Source organism: Homo sapiens, chromosome 9 (assembly GCF_000001405.40).
Source record: "Homo sapiens chromosome 9, GRCh38.p14 Primary Assembly".
NCBI lineage: Eukaryota > Metazoa > Chordata > Mammalia > Primates > Hominidae > Homo > Homo sapiens.
In genome coordinates, this window is record NC_000009.12 from 33,059,958 (window position 1) to 33,086,215 (window position 26,258).

The 26,258-nt window shown below is 43.5% G+C and overlaps 1 protein-coding gene across 2 annotated transcripts in view, besides 3 other annotated features; it reads right to left on the reverse strand.

Moving 5' to 3' along the window:
* SMU1 (SMU1 DNA replication regulator and spliceosomal factor) overlaps positions 1 to 16,717 on the reverse strand; it is a 34,910-nt gene extending 18,193 nt beyond the window's left edge. Inside the window, exons 1-6 of one of the 2 annotated variants that reach the window (NM_018225.3) lie at positions 16,626 to 16,717; positions 13,639 to 13,849; positions 11,783 to 11,935; positions 8,867 to 8,977; positions 2,092 to 2,220; positions 508 to 627 (exon numbers count right to left, since the gene is read on the reverse strand). In NM_018225.3, the coding sequence (NP_060695.2) occupies positions 508 to 627; positions 2,092 to 2,220; positions 8,867 to 8,977; positions 11,783 to 11,935; positions 13,639 to 13,849; positions 16,626 to 16,651 (750 nt within the window). In that variant the 5' untranslated portion in view covers positions 16,652 to 16,717. The remainder of the gene's footprint in view (positions 1 to 507; positions 628 to 2,091; positions 2,221 to 8,866; positions 8,978 to 11,782; positions 11,936 to 13,638; positions 13,850 to 16,625) is intronic. The other variant, XM_005251503.6, reaches the window with a different exon arrangement.
* Positions 16,579 to 16,728: an enhancer, noted in NCBI's record as "active region_28269". NCBI's record gives its function as "activates an Ori minimal core promoter by ATAC-STARR-seq in GM12878 lymphoblastoid cells {active_cell/tissue: GM12878}" and the evidence as "EXISTENCE:reporter gene assay evidence [ECO:0000049][PMID:35858748]".
* Positions 16,899 to 17,098: an enhancer, noted in NCBI's record as "active region_28270". NCBI's record gives its function as "activates an Ori minimal core promoter by ATAC-STARR-seq in GM12878 lymphoblastoid cells {active_cell/tissue: GM12878}" and the evidence as "EXISTENCE:reporter gene assay evidence [ECO:0000049][PMID:35858748]".
* Positions 22,691 to 22,740: an enhancer, noted in NCBI's record as "active region_28271". NCBI's record gives its function as "activates an Ori minimal core promoter by ATAC-STARR-seq in GM12878 lymphoblastoid cells {active_cell/tissue: GM12878}" and the evidence as "EXISTENCE:reporter gene assay evidence [ECO:0000049][PMID:35858748]".

The following is a 26,258-nucleotide window of genomic DNA, read 5'->3' on the forward strand; positions in this document are numbered from 1 at the left end:
TACAGATCATAAAGGTCCTCCCTTGGTTAATAAAATTGGAATTTAATTAAACATACCGTTTTTTGCTTTTTGTTTTTGAGACAGTGTTGCTGCCCAGGCTAGAATGCAGTAGCATAATCATGGCTCACTGCAACCTCAAACTCCTGGCTTGAGGGATCCTCCCACTTCAGCCTCCCAGGCAGCTAAAACTATAGGTGCACACAAGCATGCATGGTTAATTTAAAAAAAAATTTTTTTTGGTAGAGACGCGGTCTCACTATGCTGCCCCGGCTGGGTTGAACTCCTGGGTTCAACTAAGTGATCCTCCTGCCTCAGCCTCCTCAGTAGCTAGGACCACAGGTGTGCACCACTGTCCCTAGCTTTAAATGAGTTTTTTAATTACAAAAGTAATACATGTTCATTACATACAGATCCTTTTTCAACTAATCTGATTTAGAGGCCATAGGTAAGTAATTCAAAGCAGGTAATTTTTCCACTAGGAAGGTTAACACATTTAAAATACTTTACCTTTCTGATTTTTCCAGTAGTAAAGTTCCATACTTCAATGAATCCATCAACAGACCCAGTGACCAAATACTGACCATCTGGAGAAAATCGAGCACACTCCACATGTGATTTCTGACCAAACTGTTTCAAATGAAACAATGAAACAGATGCATTTTTATCTAGTGGACTTAAAACAATTCCTTTTTTAACCTTTTGAGAAACCCTGCCCTAGCATAAAGTCATAGCTGGCCCATATTATAGAGTATTGGAGGGGTATTTCTGTACCTGGACGCAGGGAGCTGGGTGGATGTATTTTTCTCTGACTTAGTTTTAAGTCCAGGCACTAAGTTGAAGCTAGTTTTTTGAATGTGAGATTGATATTTCCAAAGGAAAGGACAAAAGCTATTTTAACATGGGACTTAGAACAAGTAATCCTGTTAGCTCAGACTGTAATGTTTTGCTAGAATCAGCCACTGTTAGCGTGACTTTCACACTCAGTATGGCCTAATATGTTCCTGTTGTGTATCTCAGGGGGAAAAAACTCATTTTTTCAAACTAAATGTATGTTTCCCTATATTATTTTGTAAATAAACTTTCTATCAGTGTTTCACAACCTTCATTTAATGAAGTGATAATGTGTAGCTGACCAAACTTAGAAGAACTAATTAAAGCTAATATACTGTCTGATAAATGCATTCTGAGCATTTGCTAGTGAGGATGCTCCCAATAACAGATGAAAACTACAGAAAATTAGGTAGAAAGAACAAAGAAAAGCTCTAATGTGGATTTCACCTTAAATGCCAAAAAAGGAAAGTGTTTATAACAGAAAATCTTAGCCCAGCAGCATAATAATGATGGATTTCTATTTGTCTCAAGGTTTCAGGCAGAGTAAATAAAGGTGCTGCTTAAAAATATCTTTATCTGCAAGTTAGAATATATAATCCAGAAAAGGCAAACCCAAAATGTTAACCCAAAGTCAAAGATTTGAGGAATATGAAATATTTTAAAATCCAGGAATTTAGAGCACAAATCCAGAGAAACTGTAATATAGAGATGCTAAAGTAGCAAATACACTTGTAATTCTGGGAATTACCTAGAACACTTTTTCCTAGAAAACTCTCAGATTTAAAAAAATAAAAATAAATAAAAAATTTTAAAAAACCACACCATAGGAAGATAAAATCATTTTCCTCAAACATCACATAAGCCCACTTTGTAATCCCTCACTGGCACTCTGCCTGACACATAGCAGGCAAAATAAAAATGGTAAACAGAAGAAGTACATACAAAGTTCACAGTCCCAGGTGTAACCAAAAAAGAACTAACCATTCTTCCAAATGCAGGCTTCTTGGGAAGAAGTGCAAGGGCAGATGGTGGGCTAGATGTCAAGCTAGATGTCCATCCATTAGATGACACATCTGAGGTGTACCACTCCCAGGCCACAGCAGTATCCCAGTGGACACCTGCAGCAACCTTGAATATTGTCAGAGCTGGAGAATGAGTTCTCCCCCTCAATTATCCAAGCCCCTGGCACAGGGCCTGGCTGAGCCCATGACAAGTCCTCAACAAATGATTACTGACTGGCTGAATGTCTTAGGATCCTACCTTAATATGCCTGCTCAGTTGTGTAGGAAACTTTTCTTCTTCCACATCTTTGACAGCTGCCTTGCCTCGAAACAAATCTATGGTCATACCAGGAGGAAGCAATCCCTGATGCTGCTGCCACTTCAGTGCCTATGAGGAAAAAAAAAAATATAGCAATCTGTTCAGGTGCTTTTAAGATCTGGTCATAAGTGCTCAGAAACCAAGCCCGAAAGGATGAGGTTCAGAGAAAGCTGTGAGCCATCTAAACCCCAACTATTTTTGGCCATCCAAACATAAAGTAATCTGTGCTCCCCTGTGTGTCCAAGAACACAGGCTGATCTAAGGGTGAAGGGGACCTGAGAGCCAACAAGTCTATCATCCACCTATTTTCTTACAGGAGTGGCTCTTTTGTTATAAACAAAACTTGGAAAACAAAGATCTCCCATAGTTCTAACACTCAAACACACCCACTATTAACATTTTATATACTACCTTCCAATCTTCCCCCCCCACATATGTGTTTCATTAACCTAGTTGTAATTATACTATATGTAAAATTTTATTTTCTCCTGTTTTCACCTATCAACAGGTCATATTAGTCACAGCTATCATTTTAATGGCTGTAAAATATATCCCATCTAGTAGATGTCTCACAGTTAACATAATCAATATATTAGTGGACATTTACACTGCTTCCAATTTTTCAATCACCTAAATAATGCTGCAATGAACATCTTTGGACATAAAGCTTTTTCTATTTTGGGGATATTCCCCTCCTAGGGTATATTCCTGGAAAAGAAATTACCAAATCCAAAAAAGAACATGAATGGTTAAGGCTCTTGATATATTTGATATATACTGCCAAACTCCTTTCCAAAAGAGCTGCTTTCCAAAAAAAGTTGCAGTTGCACTAGTGTTCACAACTGCATTATGAGGGGTGAAATAATGAACTTTGGAGACAGATGGTCCTAGGCTAACTCATTCACCAGCTATGTCATTTTGACTCCCAGTTTTGCCAACTGAAAAAGTCGGGAAAAAAAGCCTAATTCGGGGGCCAAGCATGGTGGCTCACGCCTGTAATTCCAGCACTTTGGGAGGCCAAGGTGGGCAGATCACCTGAGGTCAGGAGTTCCAGGCCAGCCTGGTCAACATGGTGAAACCCCATCTCTACTAAAATTACAAAAATTAGCCAGGCGTGGTGGTGCATGCCTGTAATCCCAGCTACTTGGGAGACTGAGGCAGGAAAATTGCTTGAACCCGGGACGCAGAGGTTGCAGTGAGCCAAGATCGCACCACTGCACTCCCAGCCTGGGCAACAGAGTGAGACTGTCTCCAAAAAAAAAAGCCTAATTCATAGAGGATAAAACAAAATAATATAAGTGAAGCCTGTATAATAAGCACATGTTCACATAATAAGCACACAATCAATGTTTATTCCCCTTTCCTTTTGTTATTCCAAGAAAACTCAATAATTTTTGGTATCATTTAAAACGGGGGTCCCCAACCCCTGAACTGCAGACCAGTACTGGTCCACGGCCTGTTAGGAACCCAGCTGTACAGCAGGAGGTGAGTAGCCAGGGAGCAAGAGCATTACAGTCTGAGCTCCACCTCCTGTCAGATCTGCGCAGCATTAGATTCTCATAGGAGCATGAACCCTATTTTGAAATGCGCATGCGAGGGATCTAGGATGCATGCTCATTATGAGAATCTAATGCCTGATGATCTTAGATGGAAGAGTTTCATCCCAAACCCACCCCCCTGACACCCCCACCACCATCTGTGGAAAAATCGTCTTCCACGAAACCAGTCTTTGGTGCCAAAAATGTTGGGGACCACTGATTTAAAAATTTTAGCTAATTTAATAAGTAGAAATAGAATACCCTACTTTAGTCAGTTCTCTGATTAATGAGTTGAACTTTTCTCTGTATTCATTAGATATATTTCCTCTTCTGTTAACTGTTTATTCATGTTATTTGCTCACTTATCTATCATGGTCTTACCATTCTCACCAATTAGTGAGCTTTAACGTGATAAAGGTATTTGTTGTTTATGTTTGCTGCAAAGAATTCTTTTACCAACTTTTTTTTTTTAAAGAGAGGGGTTCTCATTCTGTCAGGCTGGAAAAGTGGCATGATCACAACTCACTGCAGCCTTGAACTCCTGGGCTCAAGCAGTCCTTCTGTCTCAGCCTTCCAAGTAGCTGTGACTATGTCTATTTTGGATTATAGCTTTATAGGTTTCTTTTCATCTTAAGTTCCGTTCTCGAGTGATGAAATCTGTTTACCTTTTCCTTGGTGTTTAATCTCTAAGTTTGGGAAGACTATCAGGTTTGATAGATTATATTATCTCCCAGTGTTTTTCTATTATCTTAAAATATCTAACTTTCTATCTGAAATTATGCTACATAAAATATGGGAGCAGGCTCTGATCTGACCTCTCCCCCGCAATTCTAAAGTCAGTGTCCCAACATCATATACTAAATGTATTTTTCTCTTATTCCTAGGTTTTGTGGTATTCCCCATTGTCATCCGTGGAATTATTATAAATAACAGAATTGGGTTTTTGCACTGTTGTTGCACTGGTTGCAACAGATGTTCTTGTGTCCACTACCAAAATGATGCAAATTATAGGTCTTTATTAAATGCAGTATTTCTAAGACTAGTATGCTCTCAACATTCTTCCTTTCCAAAGTTTCTTTGCTAAATATATTTTTTCTTTTTTTTTTTTTTAATTGAGACAGAGTCTCACTCTGTCACCCAGGCTGGAGTGCAGTGGCGCGATCTTGGCTCACTGCAAACTCTGCCTCCCGGGTTCAAGTGATTCTTCTGCCTCAGCCTCCCAAGTAACTGGGATTACAGGCGCACGCCATGATGGCCAGCTAATTTTTCTATTTTTAGTAGACACAAGGTTTCGCCACGTTGGCCAGGCTGGTCTCCAACTCCTGACCTCGGTTGATCCACCCACCTGGGCTTCCCAAAGTGCTGGGATTACAGATGTGAACCACCACACCCGGCCACATTTTACTTTTCTTCTTCTACATGCTTTCCCTAGGTAATTACATTTACAGCTTCAACTACTACTATAATTTCCAAATCTATAATTTTAGCCAAAACCTCTAGGTTAAGGTCCAGATTCACAGATCCAAGGGCCTATACTGCAAGTTTCCACTTGTATGTCCCACAGGAACTTCAAAACATCTAAAAACGGATCATTTCCCCTATCCCTAGTTTCTACCCCAGCCCCCAACAAATCTGTCCTTCTTATATTTTCTACCAAGTCACTCAAACCAGAAACTAAAGGGAAACGAAACCTAGAACCAAAACCTCACTTGCTCTTCACATCTAACCAATTAAATGTAGAACACATGAGTTTATTTCCACTGTCTCTAGAAAATCCACTGAAGTGATGGTAATTAAGGAATAAAAAAGATACATGCCCCAAAAGACAAAGAGAATGGGAGAACAGCAAGAAAAAAATGTTAGTTAAATTTTAGAAGGTGAAAAGTGAATGGACTAGTGGAAACCAAAAACAGAGAAAACCGAAACCTAATTGTACAAGGTGAAGAAGGGGAAGCCACAAGAAGCAAGCCAAACTACCTTGCAAAACTCCAAAAAGGCTTAGGAACTGGAGGAATCACATACCCTTCAAGCACAAGGCATGCTTCAGGGCTGAAAACAGGGGCAATATTAAAGTCTGCATAAGGAGCATTTAGCTACCACGACTTCTCCCAACCCTGAGCAACCACCTCGCCTTAGCCTCAAGAGAAATCAGGTGATGTATATTCTGGAAAGGTTGAGGTCCTAGGCTCTGAAAATCTCAGTAGAGCTGAGGACAGGGTGGAGGTGAGAAGCCACAATGAAAACTGGGGGCTTCAGTGTACACTGGTATGCTGAACAGTGAGATTTCTCTATCCTCCACTCCTACCTGCATCCTCTCAGCTCTCACTCTCAAGATATGGTTTAGGCAAGAACTACTCTCCAAGCAGGAACTACTCTCTGGAAAAGCTGACCAGCCCAAGAGAACATTTCTGCAGAGAATGACAAATGAGGATCCCCATCCTATCATCCCAGGCTGAAGTCTATCAGTTCTCAAACTCCTCTTTCCAACCACCCAACCTGACATACCATAGCAGAGAGCTCTAAATATTTGAGGAAAACTCCCACATATGGTCAGCAAAACAAACAGGGAAGGGGAAAACTCAGAGAAAAAGAAAAAATAGGAATACAGGGACAATGCAGGAAGGATAATAAAACTTTAAACATTTAAAGAGAAAGAAAGATACACGGTATTACAGACACAAATAAAATCTCAAAAATTTATTTCTATGCTTCCTTTCTCAGGAAGTTACTGGACTCAGTACTCCCACAAAATGAGGGTCTAGGCTGGGCTCAGCGGCTTACACCTGTAATCCCAGTACTTAGGAAGGCAGAGGCAGGATAGTCTGGGCAACACAGCAAGGCTCTGTGTTCCATTTAATTAAAAAAAAAAAAAAAAAAAAGGCTGGGTGCGGTGGCTCACGCCTGTAATCCCAAAACTTTGGGAGGCCGAGGTGGGCAGATCACGAGGTCAAGAGATCGAGACCATCCTGGCCAACATGGTGAAACCCCGTCTCTACTAAAAATACAAAAATTAGCTGGGCATGGTGGTGGGCACCTGTGGTCCCAGCTACTCGGGAGGCTGAGGCAGGAGAATTGCTCGAACCCAGAAGGCGGAGGTTGCAGTGAGCCAAGATCGTGCCACTGCACTCCAGCCTGGCGACAGAGTGAGACTCTGTCTCAAAAAAAAAAAGAAAACTGAGGAATCTATAAATAAGACCTACCAAAAAAATAAGAGACCCAAAATTCCCAGTATGAAGATGAGAGAAGTCCTGGTACAGTAACTGTGCAGCAATGCAAGAGAACTAGTCCTGATGGGAACAAAAAGAGAAGGGCCTCAGGAAAGATATCAGCAAGCGGAAAAAAAAGGACTTTTGACGGTTCTACTAGAAATACTCAGGCTGGACTAGCAGAAGTGCATAGAAAACTAGGCAAAAGAAAAAATAAGCAATAATTATTGCAAATCATAAAAATTTATGTAAGAAATTACATGTAATTATTTTTTAGCTGTGAACAATAGCTATATAAAAATAACTATGTAAACATTGAATATAGATTGAACCAAAAGTTGTGATACAGCTCTACTGAAAATCCAGAAGAAGAGTAAGTGTGTATTGAGGAGAGTGGGTATAAGACAAATCATTTTTCGCTGAAGAAAGTTAGTTGCTAATGACCAAAAAAAAAAAAAAAAAAAAAAAAAAATCAGGTAATAACAGTATAAACATGGTATTCAGCTATGGAGCTAAGTCAGGAAAGTTAAGAATCAGAGGTGGAGAAGGGAAGCACATGGGACTGTTTTTCACTGTAAGCCCTGAAGTACTACTTAAACGATGCACTGCTATTAGTTTGATTAAGAAATCAAAAAGCAGCTTACTTTTTTTTTTTTTTTTTTTGAGATGAAGTCTCGCTCTTGTCTCCCAGGCTGGAGTGCAATGGCTCAATCTCGGCTCACTGCAACCTCTGCCTCCTGGGTTCATGTGATTCTCCTGCCTCAGCCTCCCGAGTAGCTGAGATTACAGGTTCCTGCCACCACGCCCAGCTAATTTTTGTATTTTTAGTAGAGACGGGGTTTCACCATGTTGGCCAGGCTCATCTCGAGCCCCTGATCTCAGGTGATCCACCCACCTTGGCCTCCCAAAGTGCTGGGATTACAGGCATGGGCCACCACGCCAGGCCAAAAAGCAGCTTACTTTTGAATCTCAGAGTCACTGCAGGCCTGCAACAAATAGCTTTTTGGTCCTTTTCTAAATGCAGATTTAGTGCAAAAAGGTTATTAACATCCCTATTAATCACTTGTGCCCTTTGTTATTTATAATATATCTATTACTCTAAGTAGCTTTATAATAATGACCATGCTGGCAACACTATTAGTAATTTTTTAAAAAATCATCACCAGCAGCTACCATTTACTATTTACAAGGTGCCAGGAAATGTATAAAGTGTTTATGAACATTATTTCTCTTAATCCTTACTCTCAATACTGTGACGAGTAAATGGGACCAGAAAAGTTAAGTAATTTGCCAAGACTATATAGCTGGTAAATGAGAAAGCCTGGATTCTAACTAGGATGGGCATTTGTTCCAATCTTTCCAGGACAGTTACTATTTGCACTTGGTGTTCTGGCATAGGGATCAACTGTACTCTCAACGATATTCCAGACAGGATGATAAATTCTATGGTAACCCTAATTCTAACTGACTCCAGAGCTTGTTCTTAACCACTAATCTATATTGCCTCTCCCAGGAAAGAGGGAGAGTGGAACAGCACAGTTACTGGAATAAGCAACTCTGTAGGTAGTCCCCAATTCTTAGGGTGTACAATTTCTTCAGCTAAGACATAGTTTATACATAGGAAATTAGGAAATTGTACCAGGAGTTCACTTTTTAAATTTATTTTTATTTTTGGAGACAGGGTCTCACTCTGTTGCCCAAGCTGGAGTATAATGGCATGATCATAGCTGTCATCTCAATCTTCTGGGCTCCAGTGATTGTCCCACCTCAGCCTCCCAAGTAACTGAGACCACAGGCACACCCCACCATAACCCGCTAATTTTTTTACTTTTTGTAGAGACAGAGTCTCACAATGTTGCTTAGGCTGGTCTCCAACTACTAGGCTCAAGTGATTCTCCTGCCTCAGCCTCCCAAAGTGCAAGGATGACAGGTGTGAGCCACCACACCTGGCCTCTACAGGAATTGAATTACCTGTCCCAGCAATGCCATGAGACGAGATGGAGGCACCACACTGACTTCGCCAGCTAAGGCCTGGGCAATTGCTGCTCTTCTCTTTTCTTTGCTACTTCCATCTGGGTATGCCTGAAAAAGGAGAGGGTGTAGCATCATTTCCAAGAAGCAACAACAAGATATGAGTGTGCTTATTTAAAACAAACAAGCAGAAGCATACACAGAGGAAAATGTGAAAAGAAATTACCCAGTTAAAGAAGGGATTAGTTGAACTAATTTAGTTTTTGAAAATGACTTCCCAATTCTGCCCGCTTGCATTTCAAAAGTATGAGTTGGGAGAAAACTGAGGTCAGCCAATCCACACTATTATTATTTTTTCACTGAGTTCCTGGCCAAAGGACACACTGCTATTTTTCTGAAAAGAGTCCAAGTAAACCACATTAAACCCAGAGTTGTTCTTCCAGTTTTTGAAAAATTTGCAGAACCAAGAATTCTTTTATACTCTTTAGTAATTTCTTAAATGGCTCCCAGCACAGAAGTGCTTCACCACCTCTAAGTTAAATCCTGTCCTGGTAATCTAAAATCCTTTCCTTTATCCTCATAGATTTTGTAGGTTTACTCTAACATTCTATTATCCAGTGCCTATTAAGTTCTTCTTCCTCCTGAGAAAATACTTGCAAACTACCCATCTGACAAGGGATTAATAACCAGAATATGGCTGGGCAGGGTGGCTCACGCCTGTAATCCCAACATTTTCGGGGGCTGAGGCTGGCAGATCACCCGAGGTCAGGAGTTTGTGACCAGCCTGGCCAACATGGTGAAACTCTGTCGCTACTAAAAATAGAAAAACTAGCCAGGCCATAGTGGTGGGTGCCTGTAATCTCAGCTACTCGGGAGGCTGAGGCAGGAGAATTCCTGGAACCTGGGAGGTGGAGGTTGCAGTGAGCTAAGATCGTGCCATTGCACTCCAGCCGGGGAGACAACAGCAAGACTCTGTCTCAGAAAAATAAATAAACAAATAAATAAATAACCAGAATACAGGGCCAAGTGTGGTGGCTCATGCCTGTCATCCTAGCACTTTGGGAGGCCGAGGCGGGTGGACTGCTTGAGGCCAGGACTTCGAGACCAACCTGGCCAACATGGCGAAACCCCATCTCTACTGAAAACTCAAAAATTAGCTGAGTGTGGTGGCACACACCAGTAATCCCAGCTACTTGGTGGCTGAGGCACGAGAATTACTTGGACCCAGGAAGCGGAGGCTGCAGTGAGCCGAGATCACGCCACTGCACTCCAGCCTGGGTAACAGAGCTCTGTCTCAAAAACAACAACAACAACAACAACAAAACCCAGAATATATAAGGAGCTCAAACAACTCTACGGGAAAAAAATCTGATAATCCAATGTTAAAAATGGGTGAAAGATCTGAATAGACATTTCTCAAAAAAAGACACACACAAGGCAAACAGGTTTATTTAAAGGTGCTCAACACAACTGATCATTAGAGAAATGCAAATCAAACTACAATGAGATATCATCTCACTCCAGTTAAAATGGCTTTTATACAAAAAGACAGGAAATAACAAATGCTGGTGAGTAAGTGGAGAAAAAGGAACCCTCGTACACTATTAGTGGGAATGTAAATTAGTACAACCACTATGGAGAATAGTTTGGAGATTCCTCAAAAAATTAAACATGGAGGTACCATATGATCCAGCAATCCCACTGCTAGGTACACACCCAAAAGGAAATCAGTATATCAAAGAGATATCTGCACTCCCATGTTTATTACAGCAGTGTTCACAATAGGCAAGATTTGGAAGCAACGATAAGTGACCATTAACAGATAAATAAAGAAAATGAGGTACATGTACACAATGGTGTACTAGCTGGACATATAAAAGAATGAAATCCTGTCATTTGCAACAACATGCATGTAACTAGAGCTCATTATGGTAAGCGAAATAAGCCAGGCACAGAAAGACAGACTTTGCATGTTCTCATTTATTTGCAGGAACTAAAAATTAAAACATGGAGATAGAGAGTAGAAGGATGGTTGTCAGAGGCTGGGAAGGGTGGAGGTGGCGGGGGTAAGAAGGAAAGTGGGGATGGTTAATAGATACAAAAAATATAAAGAATAAATAAGAAATAGTATTTGATAGCACAACAGGGTGACTATAGCCAATAATAATTATACATTTTAAAATAACTGAAAGAATTGAATTGTTTGTAACACAAAGGATACATGCTTGAGGTGATGGATACTCCATTTACCCTCATTATGCACTGCATGCCTATATCAAAATATCTCATGTACCCCATAAATATATACACCTACTATGTACCCATAAAAAATTTTTTTTAATCCTTTTTCCTCCTATTTTGACAAACCTCTAGTAAAAGGCTGGGGGGGTGGGCAGGAAGAATGAAACCATACAGATAATAAGGTTTAGGAAGAATGAAACTATACAGATAATAACGTTTTGGAAGAATAAAAGACTATCATCATGCTCTACTGGTAAGCATAATCCGCGAAGAAACAAAAGCTTCTAGGGACTAAAAAGGCTAGAAGGAAACTACAATTGTTAGGGGCAAGACACACAAATGATCAGTGAACATACCAGCAGTCAGGCAGCACTTCGGGGAGGGCTAATGTGGAAATGACATCAGAATAAAATGTTCTGCTTTTTTTACTAACCAACACGCAATCCTCTAAACTGAGGTGTATAGAAGACTCAAATAATCAGAAAACTGAACAAAATTATTCTCTTTAACATACGCAAATTTCAGCCAACATATATAAACAGAGAAGCATCATTCTCAAAAATTAAATCAAAATCACAAAGAGTATACAATAAAATGGTAAAAAAAAAAAAAAAAGATCATGTTATTTCATTTCCAAAGTTAACAAAAAGTTCCTTTTCATTACCACAGTCATACCTCACGAGGATCAAAGTAAGACCTGGCCAAAAGGTTCTCCAGATGAATATATCGCTCTGGCTGTGTTTGTTTTAACATGATCATGGGATCAGTCTGTCTCAAAAGTGACCTGGCAGCACCCAATTCACGGAGCTCTATCAATTCCAGAACAACCTGGACAATTAAAAAAAAACAAAAAAAACCCCAGATGTTTCAACACACCGTCTTATTAATATTTTTCGGTAAAATATCTAACACAGATATGGCCTGTCAAAGGATTTCCAATACCAGGAAGTGCCCCTTTCCATTTTCACTAGCAATTTCAGGTGGACTTGGTGGGCTTGGTGGCTCATGCCTATAATCCTAACACTGTGGGAGGCCAAGATGGGCGGATCACTTGAGGTCAGCAGTTCGAAACCAGCCTGGCCAACGTGGTGAAACAGACTCTCTACTAAAAATACAAAAAAAATTAGCTGGGTGTGGTGGTATATGCCTGTAATTCCAGCTACTTGGGAGGCTGAGGCAGGAGAATTGCTTGAACCCGAGAGGCGGAGAGTGCAGTGAGCCAAGCTCATGCTACTGTACTCTGGCCTGGGCGACAGAGCGAGATCTGTCTCAATAAATAAATAAATAATAATTTCAATCCTTCAAACTCTATCCTTCATTTTTATCTACCAATCTCCCCTCCTCTCAGGCTTCTTGCTCAGAATGTAGATGCCAAAGAAAGCTAAAGATGGGAATATACCCATGGGCTCCAGAGAAACCTTTCTCCAGTTACCAAAATTTTCTTTGGGAATTATTGAACTCATACGGATTGTAAAGAAACAAACTGCCCAGACACGGCAGCTCACACCTGTAATCCCAGCATTTGGGAGGCTGAGGCAGGTGGATCACTTGAGGTCAGGAGTTGGAGACCAGCCTGGCCAATGTGGTGAAACCCCGTCTCTACTAAACACAAAACTTAGCTGGGCGTGGTGATGCACGCCTGTAATCCCAGCTACTCGGGAGGCTGAGGCAGGAGAATCGCTTGAACCCCGGAGATGGAGGTTGCAGTGAGCAGAGATCGCACCACTGCACTCCAGCCTGGGTAACACAGTGAGACTCTGTCTCAAAAAAAAAACAAAAAAAAAAACCCGTAAACAAAAACCAAAAACCAATTTCACTACTTTTACTTCAAATTACAATCTTATTTCCAGAAAGTCTACTCTGCTGTTTTATAATCACAAATTTGTCTGATCTTTGTCCTAGGTTCTTGGCTTGGAGCTTCTTGGAATTTGACCAGTGATAGGGGTATCTTTGTTACTCCTGGGCCCCTTGAATCACACCTGGGTTTGTGCAAAGGAAATGGCTCAGGATAGGTAGGAGCTAGTTATCAGAAAGACTAACTATGTGATTAGAAAGTTGAGGCTCTCTCGTGCCTGTAATCCCAGCCCTTTGGAAAGTCAAGGCTGGCGAACTGCTTGAGCCCAGGAGTTTGAGACCACCCTGGGTATTATGGTGAGATCCTGTCTCTACAGAAAAATGCAAAAATTAGGCAGGCGTGGTGGTGCGTGCCTGTGTTCCTAGCTACTCAGGAGGCTGAGGCAGGAGGAAGGATTGATCCTGGAAATGGAGGATGCAGCAAGCTGTGATCTTGCCACTGCACTCCAGAGTGGGTAACAGAACAAGATCCAGTCTCAAAAAAAGGAAAGAATTTTAATTTGGGAAATCCTGGATTTTCCAAGAAGGGAGAAAAAATACAATGTCAAGCCTTGCCATTGTTGTATGGGCTGATGCAGCCCTACCGTGCTTGAAGGAATGCTCACTGACGCTTTTTAGTTGGGGAGCTGGCCCACAACGAACCAACCCATGGGGATCAGCATCACCACCACTCTTACCTGTTCATAGAGGTCAATGAGGGTTTTGTCTGGCAATTTCAGAGACTGTATAGCCTGCAACACAGTATCCCAATGGCCACTGTTAATGTCAGCCACAAAACTCTCAATGCTGTCCACAGTATTCAGAGACACAGTAGTCTCCTCCTGCAAGGTGGCTAACGCCCGATGTAAACTGTTCTCCTTCAAGTACTGCATAATAAGGCGGATCACACTGAAAGAAAACAAATCGTTCAGCTCAGGGATTCTCACTCACCAGAGGTCAAAAATAAAGCCTATCAAGCTCCTACTCAATCATCTTCCTTTCACTACTATTTCTTTATCATGTGAGTAAAATTTTCCAAAATCACAGAATCTAAATTATAAGGGGACCCCCCCTAACCATAGAGACAGAACTGGGGTTCAAGGAAAGGAAATCATTTGCCTAATGTCTCAGTCAGCTAGAAAGGGAGTTGGTGTCAAGGTGACTATCTTATTTCCTAATCCAGAGCCTAGTTTCCTATTCATTCTTGTAATTATATTGTAGCACACTTCACTGAAATACTTTAAATGACTAGACTAGTTATTTATACAAAATAATCTAAATGAGGTTGGGCATGCTGGCTCATGACTGTAATCTCAGTAATTTGGGAGGCTGAGGCAGGAGGATTGGCTGGAAACCAGGAGGTTTGAGACCAGATCAGGCAGCTGTGAGACCCCATCTCTACAAATTTTTTTTTAAATTAGCCAAACATGGTGGCATGTGCCTGTAGTCCCAGCTACTTGGGATGTTGATGTGGGAGGATCCCTTGAGCCCATGAGTTCAAGACCAGCATGGGCAACATAAGAAGACCCCTTCTCTACACACACACACACACAAAAAAAAAAATTAGCTAGGCATGATAGTGTGTGCTTGTGGTCCCAGCTACCTGGGAAGCTGGGGTGGGAGGATTGCTTGTATCCATAAGGTTGAGGCTGCAGTGAGCCGTGATCATGCCACTGCACTCTAGCCTGGGAAAGAGAGCAAGACCTTGTCTCAAAAAAATAAATAAAATAAAACCTATGAGGTAAGTTTACTTTTATCCCCAATTTACAGATGAGGATTTGATCAGATAATAGAGATAATAAGTGGAAAAATCAGGACTCAAACTGGCAGTGTGGCTCTAGAGCATGTATTCCTGAGGAGAAAGCAAACATCCTCTTTTTTTTTTTTTTTTTTGAGAAATGGTCACTTGCATCGCTCAGGCTGGACAGAATAGTGGCGTGATTGTGGCTGACTGCAGCCTGGGCCTCCTGGGATCAGGTGATCCTCTCACCTCAGCCTCCCGAGTAGCTGAGACCACAGGCATGCACCACCACACTGGCTAATTGTTGTATTTTTTGTAGAGACGTGGTTTTGCCATGTTGACCATGCTGGTCTCAAACTTCTGGGCTCAAGTGATCCATCCACCTCAGCTTCCCAAAGTGTTGAGATGACAGGTGTGAGCCACCGCACCTGGCCCCTCTTCTTAAAAACAACTATAGGCCGGCCGCGGTGGCTCACGCCTGTAATCTCACCACTTTGGAAGGCCGAGGCGGGCAGATCACAAGGTCAGGAGATCGAGACCATCCTGGCTAACACGGTGAAACCCCGTCTCTACTAAAAATACAAAAAAATTAGCCGGGCATGGTGGTGGGCGCCTGTAGTCCCAGCTACTCGGGAGGCTGAGGCAGGAGAATGGCGTGAACGTGGGAGGCGGTGCTTGCAGTGAGCGGAGATCGCGCCACTGCATTCCAGCCTGGGTGACAGAGTGAGACTCCGTCTCAAAAAAAAAAAAGGGAACTGATTGCTGCTACCTGCAGTAGTCTTTTTCTCTCATGGCCCCTTTATGAGGTATGCAGGTATCCAGACTTAGACCCCTGTTATTCTGCTATGATACTATCTTCCTTAGCACATGTCCGTTGACTTCCATTTTACACTCCCAAAATAAGTCATCTCTCTCCTCAAACAGCTCACATTTGACATAGCCAAAATCAAATTCCCTACCTTCAAACAGAAATGAATACATAAAGAGCTAGAAGCTTTGAAGATAGTCTGGGATTTGAATCAAAGTTATGTGACCTTGGACAAGTAGGTTAACATCATTTCAGTATTTGCTGAATGCATAAACCTCCCTTCCTCCTATGAAAAGTCTCCAAAAAAGGTCCTCTCCCTCCCTTACACTCAGACACAATTTTTATGTCTGTTAATTTAATTATTATTAAGTGTTGGCAAGGACAGGTGGAGGATGGAGTTCTGGAAAAGCACACTAAGGTCTTCTTTAGTCACTAATTCTCATCCCCTATTCCTTGAAAATTTTTCTTTCTAGCCCAGTCTCCAGTCTGTCTCTCCCCAGACAACCCAAAATTCCGTGCCAGATCGGGCCTGATAGTTGTTCATTCATTCCAAAAGCTAGTTGTTCATTCATTCCAAAAGCAATTAACTCTTCCTCTAAGGTATGCTAGACACTGAGACCACAAGGAAAAGGAGCTCCTAGGCACCGACAAAGGCTAGTTTGGGGTGAGGTTATCAAACAGTGACAATACTGAGTGATAAACGCTAGGCAGAGAAAAGCAAAGGGGCCGTATAAGCAGAGACAACGAATCACATTGCATAAGCTGGACAGGGAGAGAAGCAAGGCTTAAAGAGACCTATCCCCTTGCGCAGATAATTAGACTGGAGTCCAGAGTGGATCCTTAATTTGGTCAATCACAGCGCGCCAGCAGTCGGCCAAGGACAGAACTTAGGTCTGCAAGGTGTGTTTTCCCCACCCGTGCCACCTCCCTCGAGGTTTTGGGCTTCACGTCTGAGAGCTGCTACTTTCCTGTGGGCCCACCTCCGAGGTAGCGAGATCCAAGATGCTTCTTTGGGGGCAAGGAAATGGCCCTCCACTCCCTGGCCTCTCGGATGCCTTCTCCCGAGTACCCTCCGCCCCACACCCTTAACCTCCAGGCCCCCGGCAAGGCGCGAACATCCCCACCGCAGGACTCACTCCGAAGATTCGATTTCGATCGACATAGCCGTATCTCTCCGGGAGCAGGCCCCAGCTCTCCCTCAAGGCCAGTCGCGCAACACACCAACGACACCTCCGGCGGACACCTAACGTCACTTCCGCTTGGGTCGGCGTCTGGCTCCCGCTCTGGAGATAGAGTGAACGAAGAGTAGGGGCGAGGTTCGCGTAGGGGCGGAGCCCTCAGGGGCTGTCAGAGGGCGGAGTTTATGCCCCTGCCCCAGAGAAATACGCATCAGGAGGAAGACTGTTTAAAAGCAGGCCGGAGCCGGGTGCGGTGGCTCACGCTTGTAATCCCAACACTTTGGAAGGCCGAGGCGGGCGATCACCTGAGGTCGTGAGTTCGAGACCAGCCTGACCAACATGGAGAAACCCCCGTCTCTACTAAAAATACAAAATTAGCCGGGCGTAGTGGCGCATGCCTGTAATCCCTACTCGGGAGCCTGAGGCAGGAGAATCGCTTGAACCCAGGAGGCGGAGGTTGCGGTGAGCCGAGATCGCGCCATTGCACCCCAGCATGGAAAACAAGAGCGCAACTCCGTCTCAAAAAAAAAAAAAAAAAAAAAAGAAAGATAGAAAAGAAAAAGAAAAAAAGCACCGGGCGCCATACAGCTCACAAATGTACTGAAAAAGAAAAGCGCTGGGGCGGAGCGCGGTGGCTCGCGCCTGTACTCCCAGCGCGCGAGTTCGAGACCAGCCTGGGCAACATGGTGAAGCCCCGTCTCTACTAAAAATACAAAAAATTAGCCGGGCGTGGTGGCGGGGGCGCCTGTAATCTCAGCTACTCGGGAGTCTGTGGCAGGAGAATCGTTTCACCTCTGGAGGTGGATGCGGTGAGCCGAGATCACACCATTGCACTCCAGCCTGGGCAAGGAGAGCAAAATTCCGTCTCAAAAGAAGAAAAGAAAAGTAGTGGTGATAAGATTGTAGTAAGAAAAGCAAAGAAAAGAAAGAAGAAAAGAAAGAAAAGAAAAGAAAGAAAAGAAAGAGCACTGGTTTGGAAAGATTGCTTTTTTTTTGAGACGGAATCTCGCACTGTCGCCCGGGCTGAAGAGCACAATGGCGCGATCTCGGCTCACTGCAAACTCTGCCTCCCGGGTTCAGGAGATTCTCTTGCCTCAGCCTCCGGAGTAGCTGGGATTACAGGTTTCTTGCCATCACGCCAGGCTAATTTTTTGTATTTTTAGTAGAGATGGGATTTCACTATGTTGGTCAGGCTGTTCTCGAACTCCTGACCTCGTGATCCGCCCGCCTCGGTCTCCCAAAGTGCTGGGATTACAGGCGTGAGTCACTGCGCCCAGCCAATGTTGCTTTCGTTTGATGTAATTAGTTGATTAGATTTAAGATGAGGCTGAATATGCAATACCTGATGGGATATTAATACATTCAAAACCAACATAACACTAGCCAAAATTTATAGGAAGAGTTAATTGAGGATTTTGGTTGGTTGGTTGGTTTTGCGTTTTTTTGAATCAAGGACTCGCTTTGTTGCCCATGCTGGAGTGCAGTGTCTCGATCGTGGCACACTGCAGCCTCGACCCCTCCAGCTCAAGCAATCCTCCCACCTCAGCCACCCAAAGTGCTGGGATTACTGGCATGAGCCACCACGCCCTGTCACGGGACTTTAGGTCAAACACATTATTACATTTGTAGTGACAAATGAAATGTAGAGATATCAGTGAACTTCATACATAAAACCTATTTTTAAATATTTTATTGCTGTTGTATATAAATTGTAAAAATTATTTGCAGCACAGTAATAATAAATCTGGCCAGGCGTGGTGGCTCACGCCTGTAATCTCAGCACTTTGGGAGGCTGAGGCGGGTGGATCACCTGAGTTCAGGAGTTGGAGACCAGCCTGGCCAACATGGTGAAACCCCGTCTCTACTAAAAATAAGAAAATTTGCCAGGCAGATAGGTGTGCATCTGTAATCCCAGCTACTCGGGAGACTGAGGCAGGAGAATCCCTTGAACCCGGGAGGCAGAGGTTGCAGTGAGGAGAGATCGAACCACTGCACTCCACCCTGGGTGACCGAGTGACCAAAAAATAATAAATAAATAAATAAATAAAATAAATCTGTGTTCCGAAATTACATATTGAAATGATGTATTTGTAGATTTCCTGATGGCTTTCAGTCTTATCTGATTCTGTGCCTAAAGGTCTGCCATACAACTTGTCCATAACCTCTTAAATACTGCTTCTTTTGTCAAATCATCCTCTATTTCCTATCAATTCTTGAAGGACATGGTCTCCAAGGTTTCAAATGTTTTAGAGTCTCCATGCTTGCCTTGACATGTAGTGAGATATCAACATGGGTTATATGGTTTATGAGATACTCCTTCACTATTCTATCCCATAACAGCACAAAATTATTATAACTTCTTCCTTGAAAAGAAGACCCAGCTCATCGCAACAATAGCATATGTCCTCATTTTCTCTACCTAGTACTTGTCATGTTACTCTTAAATTCAGGTTACTTCTCTATTTTGTTTATACAAATAAATCTTCTCTATGATTACTTAACACCAGGTTTTATTCTAATATCCACCACACCTCTGCTTTCATTTTGAATGGAATGGCTTCTCTTCTTATGACTCCTATTACATCCAAGCTTGTTCATTATTTATAGATGTGAGCATCTTATTGCTTCATTATGTCTTTTGTAGTAACACCCTAGGATTTTGATATTGAACTACATATTACTCTATTTTATAACAAATTAATTTATTTTTATTTTTCCTATATATTTAGCATTATATTGATTTTTTCATTATCTGCGTAAGTAGATTTTTCTTTCTTTTTTAAGACAGAGTCTCACTCTGTTGCCTAGGCTGGAGTGCAGTGGCACCATCTCAGCTCACTGCAACCTCTGCCTCCTGGGTTCCAGTGATTCTTCTGCCTCAGCTTCCCAAGTAGCTGTGATTACAGGCACGCACCACCATGCCCAGCAAATTTTTGTATTTTTAGTAGAGACGGGTTTCGCCATGTTGGCCAGGCTGGTCTCGAACACCTGACCTCAAGTGATCCGCCCGCCTTGGCCTCCCAATGTGTAAGTAGATTATATTACTTATGAATTTCAGAACACTAAAAGGGATGTTACAAGAGATTTGGAGGTCCTTGAGCCTAATAGTATTGAGAACATGTTAAAGAGATGCCTATTAGTCATTGCTCCAAAATAATAACTCCAATCCCTTAATACTTTTCTTACTCTCCTTTTTTAACCTTGGAAAGATCTTTTAGAAAATAATATATTTTGTGATAAAGAAACATTTACATAAGTTCAACAATTCTTTTGGTTTCACTTCAGTTTCCTTTTATTCAGTCAATTACAGGTACAATTAAATTGATTAATTTTTCTCTAAAAAATAGCACATATTGATTGGCCAGGTGTGGTGGCTCACACCTATAATCCCTGTACTTTGGGAAGCCAAGGTGGGAAAATTGCTTGAGACCAGGAGCTCAAGACAAGGCTGGACAACATAGCAAGAGACCCCTTCTTCACAGAAAAATTAGCCTGGCATGGTGGCACACGCCCGTAGTTCCAGCAACTTGGGAGGCTGAGGCGGGAGGATTGGCTTGAGCCCAGGAGTTTGAGGCTGCAGTGAGCCATGATCGCACCACTGCGCTCCAGCCTGGGAGACAAAGTGAGACCCTGTCTCTAAAGAAAATAATAATAATAATAAAATTAAAATAGGCTAGGCATGGTGGCTCACGCCTGTAATCCCAGCACTTTGGGAGGCCAAGGTGGGTGGATCATCTGAGGTCAGGAGTTCGAGACCAGCCTGGCCAACATAGTGAAACCCCCCCATCTCTACCAAAAATACAAAAATTAGCTGGGCATGGTGGCACATGCCTGTAATCCCAGCTACTCAGGAGGCTAAGGGAAGAGATTCGCTTGAGCCCGGAAGGCGGAGGTTGGCCTGAGACGAGATTGCACCATTGCACTTTAGCCTGGGTGACACAGTGAGACTCCGTCTCAAAAAATAAAAATAAAAATAAAAAAGAAAGAAAGAAAACGTGGGGCAGTGGAGGGTGGGGAGTGTAAACTATACTCTGTCTGCATCACATGCTGCTTGACATAATCCCTGGTGCCAAGTAGCCTGTTTCAAGTCAGAACTTGTTATTTGCTGCTGTGCCCGTGGTTTATGCATTCACGTCAATGTGATCATGGGCACCATTCTTGAGAAATGAAACTTTATCATGACTAGCAAGCAGCCACAGAGGTATACCTATCCTTTGCTTCTTCGATATATTGGATTTTTAACCCCTGATTGACAGTCGATGCTGCTGGCATTGCAAACCCTCCTCATTCATGTTTATTCTGTAATAAAAAAGTGGAATATGATGTTTTTGTTACCATGTATAAGAAATTACAATCTTTACCTAGTTGGGGAGGATTTTTTTCCTTCCTGAACTGGTTGCTTATGTAAGTATTCTGTATTCCAACAATCCATCCATTTCCATGCTTTTCCCATACCCAAAAGTATAGCTTTTGTCACCTTGCTGATCTCTTGTTCACAAGTTGATAAATTTTGCCAATTCCTAAAGATCAATTTGTATAGAAATTTTGTTTTTAACACTAGACAAATGAGGTCTCTCACATCTCTCCATCCATATATAAATAAAGAAACAAGCAGGCACACACACAGACAACTTCTAAACTCTAAACCAGGCAGTTGTATTCACCAAGAATCTTTCCACCGCATACTCACAGGCTGGATCACAACCTCCTAGACCAAATTTCTAGTGAACAAAAGTAACCCCGAGGGAAATCCGGTCTCCTGATCCGCCCTGCTTTCCGGTAAATGGGCCCCCTCCCATAAGTCCATGTATCAGCAATCTATCTCTTGAATCCAGCAGAGGGCAGGACAGTCACAGAAAAACTACCATTGTAAACCTAGCCTCCAAATGTCTAACTGGTTAAGGAAAAGAGGTGGAGGGGAGAGAGATTCTTGGTCCTGCGGATAAAGGAAGTACTGTAGAAGGGAAAGTCAATATTTGAGTGCCAAAATGGGGCAAAAGGTTCGTTTTATTTTCTATTAAACTAGACCAGTTTCTTCTAACAGGATATAATAAGGCAAAGCAGAGAAAAAAATCACATAATTCTATGTGCTTTTTGCAGAACATGAATTTTAAGTTATGAGAGTTAAATGAGTTAATTCATACAAAACACAACAGTGCCTGGCATGTAGCGAGCACTAAGTAAGAGTTTGTTGTTATTGTTGTTGTTGTTGTCGTTGTTGTTGTTGTAGAGATAGCGTCTTGCTATGTTGCCCAGGCTGGTCTTGAACTTCTGGCCTCAAGCCATTCTCCCTCCTCGGCTTCCCAAAGTGTTGGGATTGCAGGTGTGAGCCATCATACCTGGCCTATTATTATATATTAAGATGTCAAAGCCCTTCTATTATTTATGCTTCTTACCACAATAAGAAAATAAATACTATAAGTCAAAATAAAGTCTAAAACTGGTCTGTTTTGGAGTGAGGAACTCCTCTCTTTAGTGTGATACTGCTGTCACAGATGGGCTTGTACCCTGCTCATGCTCCACCAGCTGGAAGCTGGCTGGTCTCCAGTAGTCCACTTTGTCTGGACCCCTGAAATCCCTGTCCATGTCTCATTGGCCAGTTCAGCCTCCGTGATGCAAAGCTGCTACGGTGTGTGTAGCCAGCATCTCCTTTATTTACACAGAAAGGGTTCCTCCCTCAAGGCTGGCGCTCAAATGGGGACCTGTTTCCCACACCACGACTTGTTAGCATTTGTGGTTCCAGAGGCTTCCCTTAGCACACCTTTGATCTGGGATCTGTACAAACAGAATACACAGGGCCAGGCCGCAAGAGTGCCAGCAGCTACCTGCACTTTCCCCACAGGGAAAGTGCTTTCCCACTGTTGTCCTTTTTCTAAAATAGCATCTCTCATCTCCCTACTCAGACTGCTTTTCTACTTTCCAGGGACTCTAGGGCACAGAATAAGTCTTAAATTTGTATGCCTGGGATGCTTGATCTTTCACAAGACAGAGGGGAGGGTTCCAGCCTCGTTCCCCATTTTATCCCTACCCTTGGAGCCGTCTGGGATCCTCCATTCTCTAATTGCAATGAACAGTTTTGGGGGTGTCTGGCAAGCTCACAGTTCCCCTTTCTTTCTTCCTTCCTATCATGTATAGTGAGAAGAGAAGTACTTTGATAAAATGTGGCTTTCGGCGACCCCACCCTGTGGTCACTAAAGATACACACACAGGAACAGGTAAGAAATACACATATAGGCATGTGCACATACACAGGTAAGACATGCATATACAGAAACACATAAAATAATGTGGCAGACATGGAAACTTTGACGCACACAAAGACACACACCCCCACAATCCTGTGGCTTAAGGAAGTAAGATTTTCCCCCGGGTATTGTTTTTCTTGTTGACTCTGGTCACTGTGGTGCCCACGTGGCACATCCACAGTTCTTAGAAAAAGGACAGAAGCACAAAGCCTCTACCAAGTTAGAAACAAAGGCCCTGGCACAGCCCAGCCCTGGCTCACCAGTCCAGGATGCCTGTCCTACCTTCATCTCCTGGAACTGTAGTTCTGGCTCAAATGGTGCCCCAGGGGATCTCAGCCAAGGAAAACAGAGGCTGCCCAGGCACTGAGTGCCACTGGGCCAGCTGGCCCAGACCAAACATTCAAGCTCTGATGCTCAGAGCCCCCACCGTCTGCAACCCAAGCATCTCTTTCCCACACAGGCCAGCCTTACCTCATGTAGCAGCCTGCTGCGGAGGCGAAACCAAGGGTGAGGAGGGTGAGGTTGGAGAGATAGGTTAGAAAATGGGGTTGGGCATCATTCTGAGCAAACTATCGCAAGGACAGAAAACCAAACACCGTATGTTCTCACTCATAGGTGGGAATTGAACAATGAGAACACTTGGACATGAGGTGGGGAACATCACACACCAGGGCCTGTCGTGGGGTGAGGGGAGGGGAGAGGGATAGCATTAGGAGAAATACCTAATGTAAATGATGAGTTAATGGGTGCAGCACACCAACATGGCACATGTATACATATGTAACAAACCTGCACGTTGTGCACGTGTACCCTAGAACTTAAAGTATAATAATAATTAAAAGAAAAAGAAAATGGGGTTGGGGAGCAAGAGGTATGACTAAGTAGGGGGGTGACATGTTTAAATTTCCACGTTTGAGTGCCCAACACATGGAACAGTGCCTGACACACAATAAATGTGAATGGCTCTGGTAGCTTCATGAAAAGGGGGCTGGAAACTGATGGTCCTGATGGCAGGAAGCTCAGTCAGGAGCATCCGATCATGTGAGAGTTGGGTGGGGGCTTGCTCTGGGGCTGAGGATGAGGTAGGAGTGAAAAGAGAAAGAAATGGAAGTGACTGTGGATGTGATAAGAAAGGCTGTTTAGGCCAGGCGTGGTGGTTCACGCTTATAACCCCAGCACTTAGGGTGGCTGAGGCGGGTGGATCACATGAGGTCAGGAGTTCGAGACCAGCCTAGCCAACATGGTGAAACCCCATCTCTACTAATAATACAAAAATCAGCCGGGTGTGGTGGCAGGCGCTTGTAATCCCAACTACTCGGGAGGCTGAGGCAGGAGAATTGCTTGAACCTGGGAGGCAGAGGTTGCAGCAAACCAAGATCATGCCACTGCAGTCCAGCCTGGGCGATGGTGAATAAAAAAAGCTGATTAGAGCTGAGACCCTGGGCTCTGACTCATGCTAATTAAAACAGTAGTAAGGCAGACATAGAAAGCCAGCTTGTTAATTTACTGTGAGAAACATACCTGTCATGAGGATGGGAAATACATGCATCAGCATAGGCGTTCCCATCAGCATACAAACATGATCTGGTCTCTCTCACTCTTAAAATTCTTCCTTGACCTATATCATTTCTCTTCATACTCCACCTCATTTCTTTGCTTTCCTTCATAGCCAAACTTCTAGAAAGAGTTGCCCCCAAAATGCTGTTTGTACTCCCTCAATCTGTTCACGCCCACCCTATTCCAATCTGACTTTCATCTCTACTATTCCCTGAGGTCTTCTCATGTCAAAGTCACTGATGATTTTCCTGTTGCCAAATCCAAGAGGCTTACCTAGTTCTTCATCTAGAGGAAATGGAGACTCAGCAGGTTAAACAGAGTTTCACTTCTTGCAATTTGGTCCAGCCCCCTCATGAGGACAACTGGAAAATAAGAAACAAATCTGCTTATAGGCATAGAAGAGATAATAAATTGGTGTTTGGGACTACTTTTTACCTGGAGGGAATTTGTCCATGCTCGAATGAATGACCAGAGGAAGATGGCTTTTTTAAACAGGAGGACAGTTATTGAAGTTTAGGGCTAGCCAAAATAAGAAGCCCTGGGCTGGGCATGGTGGCTTACCCCTGTAATCCCAGCACTTTGGGAGGCCAAGGCGGGTGGATCACAAGGTCAGGAGATTGAGACCATCCTGGCTAACACGGTGAAACCCCGTCTCTACTAAAAATACAAAAAATTAGCCGGGCGTGGTGTGGGTGCCTGTAGTCCCAGCTACTCGGGAGGCTGAGGCAGGAGAATGGCATGAACCCAGGAGGCAGAGCTTGCAGTGAGCCAAGATCACGCCACTGCACTCCAGCCTGGGCTACAAAGTGAGACTCCATCTCAAAAAAATAAAAAACAAAAATTAGCCGGTGTCGTAGCAGGCACCTGTAATCCCAGCTACTCAGGAGGCTGAGGCAGGAGAATCACTTGAACCTGGGAGGTGGAGATTGCAGTGAGCCGAGATTGCACTGTTGCACTCCAGGCTGGGCTATAAGAGCAAAACTCCGTCTCAAAAAAAAAAAAAAAAAAAAAAAAGGGCTCCTGGTTCCAAGATGGCCTAATAGGAACAGCTCCAGTCTACAGCTCCCAGCGTTAGTGACGCAGAAGACGGTGATTTCTGCATTTCCAACTGAGGTACCAGGTTCATCTCACTGGGGCTTGTTGGACAGTGGGTGCAGTCCACAGAGTGTGAGCCAAAGCAAGGTGGGGTGTTGTCTCACCCAGGAAGCACAAGGGGTCAGGGAATTCCCTTTCCTAGCCAAGGGAAGCCGTGACAGATGGTACCTGGAAAATCGGGACACTCCCACCCTAATACTATACTTTTCCAATGGCCTTAGTAAATGGCACACCAGGAGATTATATCCCGCGCGTGGCTCGGGGGGGTCCCAGGCCCACAGAGCCTCACTCACTGCTAGCACAGCAGTCTGAGATCAAACTGCAAGGCAGCAGTGAGGCTGGGGGAGGGGCATCTGCCATTGCTGAGGCTTGACTAGGTAAACAAAGCAGCTGGGAAGTTCGAACTGGGTGGAGCCCACCGCAGCTCAAGGAGGCCTGCCTGCCTCTGTAGACTCCACCTCTGGGAGCAGGGCATAGCTGAACAAAAGGCAGGAGAAACTTCTGCAGACTTAAACGTCCCTGTCTGACAGCTTTGAAGAGAGTAGTGGTTCTCCCAGCACAGAGTTTGAGATCTAAGAACGGACAGACTGCCTCCTCAAGTGGGTCTGTGACCCCCGAGTAGCCTAACTGGGAGATACCTCCAAGTAGGGGCAGACTGACACGTCGTACAGCCGGGTGCCCCTCTGAGACGAAC